Below are 12,623 nucleotides of genomic sequence, written 5' to 3'. Positions count from 1 at the left end.
CCAGAGAACCTTCTTATTTTCATGTATTGGAAAAATTTTCTTCTTTTATAAATTTTTTATGCAATTCTTTAACTTTTACAGAAAAAAAACTAGATTTGCTAAATTAAACAATGTATTATGGATATGCTAGACATTTGCAAAGTGGTAGGAACACACTGTTATGCAGTTGGGAATAGGTTCATTTTTTGAAACTTAAAAAAAAAATTCTTCTAGTCTCATTTTCCCTGAAGAAGCAAAAAAGAGCAAGAAACTCCTATTAGAAAGAATGTTAATAGTCTCCATTTTCCCCAAGGCCCACACATTGCCATAATTATGTCTCAAGTCTGATAAAGTCAACAGAGAAAAGACTAATCAAGCTCCAAAAGAATATTTGTACTGGGTTTATAAGATTATGAAAACCAGCAATTCAACTTGAAGGAAACAGTGATATTATCCTTTCCATGATACAGTAAAAAACTAGGAAACACCACCCACTAAAGAATTTTCATAGCTGCCTCTTAGTAAGATACAGAAAATAAACTCAGCCACAGAGAATGTGGACAGGCTGGATCCAGAAAGCTGGTCCTCGGTTCAGCTTCCTTTCCTTTCATTCTGGGGCCTCTTTGAGCTAGAATCTTCTGGAAAATTGCTCCAGAATAGTGGAACCTTCATAGTTTCTTATCCCACTGGGTTTTACTGTTTTAATTTACTAATCTAACTTTATACCTCATTTGTTCTGTTCTTTAAAGGAGAGGCTTTTAAATTTTTTGAATTGACTCACAGTACAAAATACATTTTATATCACTCTGTATATATATAAACATACATATGTCACAAAGACGCACAAAAAACAAAAAGTTACAGGACGTAACACCTATCTTTCTATAGGCTATTAACTTGAATATATTGTTTTCTCTTTATTTTGAATGAATATTGATGTGACCCATTAAATTCACTTTAAGCCTACTAACGGGTTGTACCTGATGTTTAAACCACAGTGCAAAGCTTTGCTACTTAAAGTATGGACCAACAGCATCAGCATCACCTGGGATCTTGTCAGAAATGCACAACAACAGTGTTTGAATAATTTCTAAACTCTATAGTACTCTTATCCAATCTTTGCCTACATATTGCTAATGATGGGGAACTCAGTACTTGTATAGGCAAGCTTAATCCATATGTTCATGATTCATGGTTAGAAAACTCTTGGGCTACAATGAATTGCCATTTTTTGCTGTGTAGATGGCTTTCAGCAGATGGTTTCAGAGCTACTTCTTGGAGTTACATAGATGATACTTATAGAAAGAGTTGAAAGCATTTAGAATGCACCTTCTTCTCTTTCCATCATCTTCAGCTTTTCCTTTTATGACAGGCTTTCAGTTCCTTTATCATCCAGGGACCTTATCACCCAAAGAACTCATCTCATCTGAAAACCTTTCAAACTTAAAAAATCTGTCTTAACGTTAAACTCTGACCTGCAAAACAAAGCAGCACAGGAGCTCCCTTATTCTGGCTGCTGGGCACACATAAGGCAGCCCGAGAATGCATTAGTTTCTTCACAATTGCATCACATAGCTGATTCACACTGGACTTACTGTTGATTAAAACTTCCAATTAGGTCATTTCCTTCATCTGCACTTATAAGTGTGATGGTGTTTTTTGTTTTGTTTTTTTGTTGTTTTTTTTTTGAGACGTAGTCTGACTCTGTTGCCCAGGCTGGAGTGCAGTGGCTCGATCTCGGCTCACTGCAAGCTCTGCCTCCCGGGTTCACGCCATTCTCCTGCCTCAGCCTCCCGAGTAGCTGGGACTACAAGTGCCCACCACCACACCTGGCTAATTTTTGTATTTTTAGTAGAGACGGGGTTTCACCTTGTTAGCCAGGATGGTCTCGATCTCCTGACCTCGTGATCCGCCCGCCTCAGCCTCCCAAAGTGCTGAGATTACAGACCGCGCCCAGCCAAGAGTGATGGTTTTAAAATCAGGTGCAATAAGAAACTTTTTACTACTGGGAAGTGTCAAGTGAAAAGAGTTGCTAATGAGCAGCCAACATGGACCACACACAACCTCAGGCCCCTCCCTCAACCTGCTAAGTCCCACGTGATTGTTATGCACTTTAGAGTTTGAGGAGCATGTATGGGAAGGACTCTTGGGCCTGAAAACTTTAATTCACTTCAATAATGTGAACAGTTTGAGTTCACAGAATTTGGCATTTGAAGAGAAGGGCAAAGCAAAGTACTAAGTGACTTTTCAGTACCAACAGAATGGAAAAGAGAAGGATCTGCAGGTTAACATAGAAGAATCACCAAATAGCTGCTATCTTAGTGATATGGACAGTAAATATTATAGCATAGGAAGGGGAGCTCACAGTGGGCTGGAATGATCAGGGAAAACTTCATGGAGCGGGAGAATGATAAACTGCAGTATGAAGAATGAATATAGGATTCATTAGGCAGTGAGAGGCATTCTGAGAGGAGAAATGACATAAGCAAAGGCACTGGAGTGGACATGGGCTTGGTGTGCATGGGCAACCAAATGCCTAGCTGGAGCACAGGGTCCCTGTTGGGAAGTGGTGCAAAATAATTCTGGAAGAACTGGTGGACACAGAAAGCAATCTTGCACTTTAAAACACATGCCACACATCCATTTAGATAGTATATTTCTTGATGACAAAATGTCTTAGTAACTCATGTCTACAGATTATTCACATATTTAATGATATATTTTTCCCTGCCTGGAAAAGATACATGAAATAGAACCTCAATTCTGTTTCATCAGAGTTATAAAGAGGACATATATTTCAACGCAAAGTGGGAAAAAAACTCCTGATTGTGTTAAAACAGCCAAAATGCCCTGGAGTTGAACAGCCAACAAAAGCATTCTTCTTTAGAAAATTTTCTCTTATTTCATTTTCAAAGTTGTTCTCACTTTTATATGACACTGACACCCCTCTGAACTATCTAGACCAAAGATGACAAATGCATAACATATGTGCCACACCCCTTCTCTAAGTTCATACATGGCACAGCTAATTGATGTGTCTTTCTTGCTGAGCCTATACTTAGCCTCACAATCTTTCTGAACACAACAGTGATAGAACAAAGATGAATCTATTAGGCGTTCACACTCTAAGGTTTAATCTGTTCTTACCACTTGAACTATTCCATGGGATTCCTTGGCTGCTGATTTCATTCATGCTCATTTGTTCATAGGGTCGGTGCTAGATACTTTGATTTTGTGAAAGGTAAAGTGTTTGGCCCTCTATGCCATTAGAAATCATGGGTTTAGGGTGTCTTATGTAACTCAAGAGCTACCAGTGCTGTAATTTATATTAGAATCAGGTTGTGACATATCTAAGAAAGATGGTGTTGCCCACACAAGCCCATTAAGTCACATGTTCACAAGTGTGGGCTTATTTTTCCATTGATAATAGCAATGGACCCTGTTCAAATAGAGGGAATCAAGCCGAAGCCTTATAAAGGATTTTGGAAGTTCTTACATGGTCTCAGACAGGTGTAGTGTGATATACAGGGGAGGCCAAAGAAAGATTCTCTAGAGTCTCTCCAATAGAGACGTTTCTGTGATGGAACCAGCAGGGCTGTATCTTTCAAAATTGCTTTTCTAAATGCCCATGTTTACATGAGCTAAGAGCAGAGCTAAATGGTGAGACCAGCTGCCCCAGGCTTTAGAAAACAGACCTGAGTGATGACAGAGGCGGAGCATGCAAATATCTCATTGATCTGTGAGTTAAAGGCAGGTCCCAAGTTTTTTGGTGGGAGTCAAGGCTCAGCTAATGGAAATCAAAACTGAAAGGGAGGAGAGAATTCTGTAGGAGTTTGAGATCAGGATGAACCTGTTCTTGAAGAAGTCTGAGAAATGATGCAAGAAGCTCTGGAAGACGAAAACACAGAGACAGACAGACATGGAGACTCAGAGATTCAGAGACAGAGTGGCACAAAGTCTCAGAGACACAAAAGTCAAAGAGCTGCAGACAGACGGATAGAAAGATAGAGACACAAAACTCAAGAGACCAAGATAGACTCGCCAGCTCACACAGATAGCCAGAAGCACATGGGGACAGAGACTTAGGGAATGCACATGCAGACCCAAAGAGTGATCCAGGAGACAGGGGCAGAGAAAACAATGAAAGATAAAGATGTCTTTAAAGATAAAGAAAAATCCACAGAGCCTGACTCAGAGATGGACCAACATACCCAGGGAAGTCAGATTTGGACAGACCTGAGGGACAGAGCCACTACTTGCGGGAGGGGTGAAAACTGCATCTCACTGTACTGAGATCCTTCTGTTCGGTCCCCAGGGAAGCCTTCACAGTACAGGAATGGCTGCAAGACCAAAAAAGCACCACTGCTCTCCAGTAACTGAGGCTCAGGGAACATTTTATTTGGATTGGAAAAAACCTTGAAAAGGCCTAGAATGACTAGGCAGGGAATGAAAATCAGAGGTTCTCTTAAGAGGGCTCATCTTCAAGTAAAATCAAGCTTGACTCTGGGCTTACTATGGTTACTCTTGTAACTTATCCCTCACAAAGTGCTGGTTCAGGGTAATTGTCTTCAAACTGTGGTTGCCATTGACAACCTACCATTGTGGGCTAGTGTAGGAGACAGAGAGGGTCACTTTCAGGAAGCTTCAGCTATAGGAAAGAGCTATAAGTACATTGGGGTCTGTAAAAAAAATACAGGCAGATTCTTGTTTCATTAGTTATCTCTTCTCTATTCCATGGTTTAGGCGATACCTCTAACCAACGTCAATTTATTCCACCAGTAAAAACCACTGGGCATAAGGGGACTGAGTGAGTCTGAAAGTGATGAATGCAAGTACATCATCAGCGTTGGTTCAGTGGAAAGCTCACTGGCTTAAGTCAGGAGGCTTGAGTTCTGGTCTTGGCCTTGACTCAACTTGGGGCAATTCAACATTTAAACATCTGCTCTTTATCAAGTGGTATGCTCAGATGGAGAAGGCAAAGATGAATAAACCACTGTCCTGCTCCTAAGGAGTTCACCATTAAAAGGAGTTTACTGTGCTCTAGCCTAAAGCAAGTGGCTAAACCTCTTAGTACCTCAGGACTGACATCTGCAAAATGGTTTCAAGAGTATCTGGTGAATCAACCCAAACATGCAATCAACTTGTATAAGTCAGAACTCTAGGAGCAGTAACATGAAACCCAGGAAAATTTAGAAATTTATACTGATAAAGCAAACAATGAGTTATAATATATTTGTGAGACATTAAGGTTTTCAAAATTTCTTTGATACCATTTTGAAAACATACACAAAAGCAGAACTAGTTTTGTTTGGACATGAGTCGCTTATTTTGCTTAGCTCAATGGAATTGCTGGATTCTACCCTTGTTCCTTCCTGACTATTCCCGGGTTAGCACTCTAGTTTCCTACTCACCAATCTGAAAACTCCCTCACTAACCCACTATCTTGGCTCTAGCCCCATTGCCACCCATCATGCTGAACTATCAGATTAATCTACCTAAAAACAAAACATGATGACTATGTAATTCCACATTCCTATGAACCTTCAGTGAGTCCACATTGTTCATTGACCAAATCTATTTTAGGCCCTCCAGAATCTAGATCAACCTAAATATCCATGCTTTCAGAGGGAAGCAAGAGCCTACTTTGAGACAGATCAAGAAGGAGATGATGGAAAAATATCCTACCAAAAAGCAAAAGCAAAATTATACATATAATATGATTACAATTCAATCTCTATATATGTTTGTGTGTGTGTACAGAAAAACATTTCTTAAAAACTAGAATCAAGATGAACAATGTTATTTTAGGTAGTAGTACATGGCTGACATTTTAGTGCTTTTCTTTATATTTTGATGCTTCTCTTCATCTCTCTAATTTTTGATAATTAATATATATTACTATTATTTTCAACTATTTATTATAAATAAATTCAGATATACTGGAAAGTAGAAAAATAGCATCAATGTTACTGCATTGAAATAATACCCATATTTCAGGTAGAATAATTTTTAACCTTTTGCCACATTTTTAATACAACGTTTAATTTTGACTCTTTCGATGAACAGTTTTAAAGTAAATTACAGATATCCTGACACTTTAACCCTAAATAATTCAACATGCATCTCTCAAAAGTGACATTCTTTTACATAATCATCATACTGTTATTAAAACAAGTGATTACTCTTACACTTTTTAAAGTTATAAACATTTTTAAACAAAGAAGGTCTAACAACAGATAATGGGGGCAGGTGCTAGTGGGCAGGGTCAGGGGAAGCATGACCATAAAGAAGCAAGTGGTGAGCAGCGAACACTGATAAGGCCCAGCAGTGTTCACTGTGCTCTTGGTAGAGGCAGGCCTCTATCAGGCAGTAGGACACAGAGGTCGATGGGCTCAGAATAGGAATTTATCCTCTACGGGAGTTGGTAGGAGCCAGAAATTAATGCAGGTTTTAACAAAATATCTAAGAGTATGGTCATGAAAACAGAAGTACAAGAGAAAAGCCAAGTTGAAGCTTCTCATAGGATGAGATGGATAGAGGTAGAGACCAGAACCAGACCACCAGAATGCTGACAAACCAGATGGGTCTTGGGGACTGGGTGGGTCTGAGTTCATGTGAGCTTTTTCAATTCTGAATCCTTGCATATTTTGCTACCATCACTCCTTTATTCAGGCCATTTTCTCTGTAGAAAATTTCACCTTTTCTAACTTCAACTGACAAAAATCATATCAGCTCCAAGGCCATCTTCTCCACTTCTACTGTGGAGAAGATAGCCTTCCATAGGAGATTGTTTTATCTAGACACTGTCACAGCCCTCAGCCCACACAACACTGCATTCTAACTCTACATGCATATGAATCCTCCATCTCTGCACAGCCATGCCTTCTTTATTGTAGTCTCCTCTATGCTGCCTTGCCTGGCGTCATCATACAACAGATAGATCTATGACCCAGTAGAAGAGTGAATGAATGAAACAAAGTGACTCCCCACAACATGGACAGTCTGTGGGACAGATTTCCACTTGTAAGTAGAAGGAAGTCACCCTTTGGAGGAACAGAAAAACACCACAACTGAAGAGGAAATTCACTTGAGTTATGAAGAGATGGAACTGTACACTAGTTACATACTAATTATACAACCACAGAAGAACCACCTTCCGTTTTTAGAATCCAAGATTACAGAGCTGTGCACAGAAGAGGAACAAGCTGTATTGCTGTAGTTAGTGTCACACCGCTGTAAACAGGTTCCACTGAAATTTTGACTTTACGTTTCTTAGCTGAATAAATTTTTCTAGTCCTGAAAATGAATTCTACACAAAATTCAATAATGTTCTGATTAACTAGAATGCTGGCCTGGCTTTGTGTACATGTGCATGTATATTATGTGAGGAATAGAAAGAATAATGTCTTTTATAGTAAACTTTGTTATAATCACAGAACTTTCTTTGCTTCTCTCAGTTCATATTAAGAACTATGAACATGTACTAGTATAGTAAGATGAGAGAAATTTGATGAAAACCAGGAGGTTACATCAGCAGTCAAGCATGAAGGCTCTGGAGCAAAACTCTTGGATTTGAAGGTATGTTAGAATGGAAACTTAAGCATGTGATTAAAACTCTGTTCTTTACTTTTCTCATCTATAAATGGGGACAACATTAGTAATAATACCCACCTCACAGCAATGTGTAAATTAAACAAGTTCACATGGGCAAAGGGCTTAAACTAGTGCTTAGCACATGATAAGCATCCAATAATTACTAATTGCCATTACTAGAATACATACCTTTGACCAGTGGGCTCTACAAAGCAGCACCATGCAGTGGAAAGCTCTGGGGTAAGTTCCTAGGTGTGTCTCTCAGCTCCACTACTTACAAAGTCTGTGACCTGGATCGTATACTTAGCTTATTGAAGTCACCTTTTGCGTCTATGAAATGAGTATGGTGATATCGTATTGAAAGTGTTATTGTGAAGCCTAAATGGCATTATGCGTGTGAATGGTATGGTGCTGATGCATAGTAGGTGGTCAGTAAATTAGGACTATCACAGCAGGGAAACAACCTGGTTTGTGAAGTCAGCATGGGTTTTGAACACAGACACTCAGAGACTGTAGGCAACCTGATTTTTCTGCTCTTGAGTCTCTTCCTGTGTAAAGCTGGAATACCAGTGCCTTTCAAAGACCAGAGCTGGTGTCTACAAAATGCCTGCCTTATAATACGGACTCATTTTGTTTATTATCATTTATTCCGTGGGTCAGCAAACCACCAGCTGAGGGTTAATTCCTGTCAGACACCTGTTTTAGTATGGACTGGGAGCCAAGAATGGCTGTACATTTTGAAATGCTTGAGGGAAATAGAAAAATATTCATAAAAATTATATGAAATTCACATTTCAGTGTATAAATAACGTTTTGTTTGAACACCATCACGGTCATTTGTTTCTGTGTTCTCTGGTAGTTTTTGCACAACAGCAGATGTGAGTAGTTGAGGTAGAGACTGTAAGGCCTGCAAAGCCTAAAACATTCGTTACCCGGCCCTTTATAAAAAAAAGGTTTGCTGCTCCATGGTCTACTCTAAACTTCTCTTATATGTGACTAATTAGTTATCAATTTATTTAAATATTCAGAGCTTGGAATCTAGTTCTTTGGCACTGGCCAATCCAGCCAAACACTGGCACTTTCTTATACAACTTTCGATTTGAGAAAGTATTTAAAAAAGAGAACGTTTATTATGTTTCTCACTTGGAGTTACAACTGACTAGATCATTTGAATATTTAATTTTAAAGTATGCTAAAACACTTTCATTTTGTTATTTCTTTTGTGTTTATACATATATATAGCTATATGTAGAAATAGTATAGTAACCTTTGTTAAAGCCAAAGAATTGCTGGAATTTTCAGTAATTTAACTAGCTATTCTTTACCAGTTTGTTACTTAGGTGATATCTCCAGTATTTGTTACTTGTTTTATTTTGCCATATTTTCATTTTGCAAGCAGCAAACAGCCTGACCCATCTCCTCGTTCATGGTCCACCTCCTTCCTCTCCCCTGATTCTCCACACCCTCACTTCTTGCCCTCCCCACACCTCTCTTCCCCCTAAGCCCATACCCTCCCCTGAGAAGTGTAAGCGAAGCTGAGCAACAATTTAAGATGGTTTTATTTCTCCTTTGCTTCTGGACACATTAATGTATTTTAGATGAAAGAAAATTAATGATTTTAGGCTGACACTCTATAAATGAGACATGGAAAAGCACTGTGTTGCTTGATTTAGGTATTTTAGAAAATAATAAACCTGTACTCTGAGCAAGTTGTATATGTCCTGGAAAGGCAAGTGATGGATTTGCTGCAGTTCAGGGCTCAATTTACAGGATTTACATATTCCAGAGCCTGAAAAAAACAGAGGCCCAAGAACAAAGACTTCTGCTATTTCTGTAATTTAACCACTAACTTATCTGTTTATGTCTATCAAAAACATAAACGTAAGGATTTATCTAACTACTCAAATAACCTCTTAAAAATAATTGAAAAATTAAGTCATTAAAACCAGCTACCTTTTATCTATCCATTACATTAAATCATTTTGTTTTTAAGGAGGTCTTTGGAAACTAAATTAATCAGAAGGTTTGGTAGAGATTCTATCTCGCCAGTGGTTAAAGGTTCAAAGAAAAAGTCATTATAATGTTCGAGTTATGTTCAGTATTCTGGCAGAGGCAACAAGTCATTGTCAAGAGTTCTCAAATTGTTATCTATAAAAAATGTATCAGTGAGGTGCTGCAGGAGCAAGTACTGGCACAAGTTGATTATTAAATATTCAATTCGATGATGTTAAATTGTTGGCAGCTTGAAATTGTCTATAGTGGGAGTATTTATACCAGGGAATTAGGCAAATTCTTGAAATCAGGGCTTTCTCCACACCCCAACTCTTCCCAGCTGTTTTTCCAGCACACTGTTGAGTATGCTTAAATAAGCCATACATCTGAGGGTTCTTTTTGGGAGAACAGAAATGTCCTAAAACTGATTTATGGTGATGGTTGTATCACTCTGTAAAGTTAGTCAAAAGTATTGAATTGTACACTTGAAACGGGTATATTTTATGATATGTAAAATAACCTCAATAAAGTTGCTAATCGAAATGCCCCTAAACCAACAAACAAAATATCAACATTTATTAGTAATTTTAAGATTCAAGTACACACCCAACAGACTTAAAATGAAAAACAAGACCACATTTACCTAATGCATTTGGTAGATACATATTCTATGCAGTGATCATCAACCTAGGGTCTCACTTTGGAATTACTTGGAGAGTTTGACAAGAAAACACCCATCCCCAGAGATACTGAAATCATTTGTCAAGTCTGTGGTTTGGGTGTCAAGATGTTCCAGAGCACAGCCAAGGTCAAGAACCAGGACTGTAGAGCAGTTTTCCCAGATAACTGCAGGTTGCCCATTGCTATAGAAATCATCCTCATGTTTATTAATTGTTCACGCCTTCTGAAATAGGGAAATCTGGCCATGAATGTACCCTTTTTTTTTTGCAGGGAAGTGGTGTGACTCAGTTTTGTATTCAATGTCTATTCTTTGCACATGGAGGAAAGACACAGTCCTATTCCACCCGTGGGTTTCACCTGTAGTTGCTTCTTGCTGTTGACATCATGGTGGGGCACAGAGACAGCATCTAATTCATCTTTGTCATCTAAGTGTGTTCCCACAGTACTCAACCATAGACTCTGGGTTCTAGGATTGTTTGTTTAACTAAAGGACCAGAATTGAATATATTCCTCTATCTCCTCCTTTGGGGTTTTCTATTACAGTGGGCTGGGAATACAGTTAACAGAACATGTAAAGCATTGTAACTTAATAGTTCAATAAGACACTGAGGGCCACAGTTCAGCTTTAGCTTTTGGACTTGGTGACACCTGTGCTGGATGCTCACAGAAGGGCCTTTTACCTCTTCTGTTTGGGGATTCAATCTAGAGGGATAGAGAGATTCTAGAGCTCTGGCTTCCTAATAAGGGGAGTTTTCTTTAATGAAAATTCCAGGTGTTTTATCTGATTTGCCAAATGAAAGTAGAGTTCAATTCCGAGACCTCAGTTTTATAATCTAAAGACAGGAATTATTAATAAACTTTTACAGTAATACAACATAAAAAGATACAATCTCTGCAGCCTTAACACAGAGAGATTTCAACTCTATTTTGGTTTTTCTTTGGTTTCGGACATAGCCTGTGGTAGGTTGGATGCCCAGCTTTGCTATGTAATTGATGTGTGACTAGCAAGCAAGTTATTCAAACCTGTTTGGTACTTGTTTTCATCCTTTGTAAGATGAAGATGACAACAGCTCCTATGTCATTGGATTGCTATGAAGAGTTAGAGCTATTTGTCCAGGCAGAAGGTAAAGGTTTTGCCTCTCCTCATGCACAGGTGTCAAAGCCACCTTCATTGGGATATTCCCAGTGCATTAGGCAGTTTCTCTGGGAAATCCCCAATTCCTCTCTTGTGTAATACTTGTTTCTTATTAAATACCCGGATGAGTTGTCATCTGGGTCCCTTCTTAAAGACAGAGCTCCAATGACTCCACCTACCTATGCTTACCTGTTTGAAGCAGAAATTTTATCCTCTTCCTGGATTGTTGGTACTGAAAGGCTCAAAGTTGGCTCTCTGGACATACATACGATATCAAATCTCACAAATGCAGTATCAGGAGAAAGAAATATACAAGCGAGACTGTTGCAGGAACTTCCTCATTCTCTGTCTTTTGAAAAAGTCCCTCTCCCTTACAGTAGGGTAAGCTTTCTGTTTATCTTACCAGAAACACAGTCCTTTTACTGTCCCTGGGTCAGTGCTAGAAACTCTTGAACAGCGCATTTATTCATAAACCAGAGCAACATCAAGGAAGCCAGGCAACATCACCTCTATATCCCAATTCTGTCCCTCTTCTCAAAGAATGTCCAACATTTGATTTTTTTCCCTATTTTCTCAACCAACTTGTTTTCACATCTAGAAAAATAATGCCTGCTTTTCCAATGGAATTAGCCCCAGACAAGAAGATACTTAACAGATACAAATGAATAAAGTGGAAAAAAATAAATGGTTGAGGTGGCAGAGGGCAACAAGGCACTGAAGATAGTCATTAATCAAAGCATGCAGGTGGGAGTGCGGAGTCAATGTCCACCCACTAGGTACTTTGAAAGGAGATCTGCTGCCTTACCCCAAGTCCTGGAGCAGCTCAGCCTCTCCATCGGATCTGCTCCACAGATCTGAGGGATCCTGGGTGCTCATCTTCCCTTCTAGAAGTTCTGCTCTGCCCATTCGCGCCCTTCACAGAGGTAGAGAGAGAGACACAACTGGGCTGCTCCTGACACCTTCTCGCTCTGTGAGACAGCAGCCTGCTATGGCTCTGAGTCTCCAAGGCAAGGAAGTGAAACTTGGTTACTTACTCCTCCCACCAACACCACCACCCTGGCCTGGAGGCACTGGCAGGAGTGTTCTGTCAGTCAGGAAGTATGCAAACTTAGGTAGCTACCTCTGAGGACACCCACACTACATCACGCAACAGGCGGTTGCTATCAAAGGAAATGAAGAGGCAACCACCCCACCTGGGATTGGACAACAGTGCAAACTGCTTGTGTGAGGCCAAACCCTAGCT

At 39.4% G+C, this 12,623-nt stretch overlaps 1 protein-coding gene across 6 annotated transcripts in view, besides 1 other annotated feature; it reads right to left on the bottom strand.

Annotated features, from left to right (window-relative positions):
• The window catches only part of DAPP1 (dual adaptor of phosphotyrosine and 3-phosphoinositides 1), a 55,507-nt gene extending 43,134 nt beyond the window's left edge, over nt 1–12,373 (bottom strand). For all 6 annotated transcript variants that reach the window (XR_007096391.1, XM_017008024.2, XM_011531840.3 and 3 more), the window contains exon 1: nt 12,186–12,373. Coding sequence is in view for 5 of the 6 variants with exons in the window: in XM_017008024.2 (XP_016863513.1) it covers nt 12,186–12,286 (101 nt within the window). In the remaining variant the exon portion in view is untranslated. The remainder of the gene's footprint in view (nt 1–12,185) is intronic.
• Nucleotides 6,784–7,153: an enhancer, noted in NCBI's record as "active region_21741". NCBI's record gives its function as "activates an Ori minimal core promoter by ATAC-STARR-seq in GM12878 lymphoblastoid cells {active_cell/tissue: GM12878}" and the evidence as "EXISTENCE:reporter gene assay evidence [ECO:0000049][PMID:35858748]".
• Nucleotides 12,374–12,623: the final 250 nt, after the last annotated feature.

Source organism: Homo sapiens, chromosome 4, assembly GCF_000001405.40.
Source record: "Homo sapiens chromosome 4, GRCh38.p14 Primary Assembly".
In the NCBI taxonomy this organism is placed as follows: Eukaryota; Metazoa; Chordata; class Mammalia; order Primates; family Hominidae; genus Homo; species Homo sapiens.
This window is presented reverse-complemented; position numbering and strand designations above follow the sequence as displayed.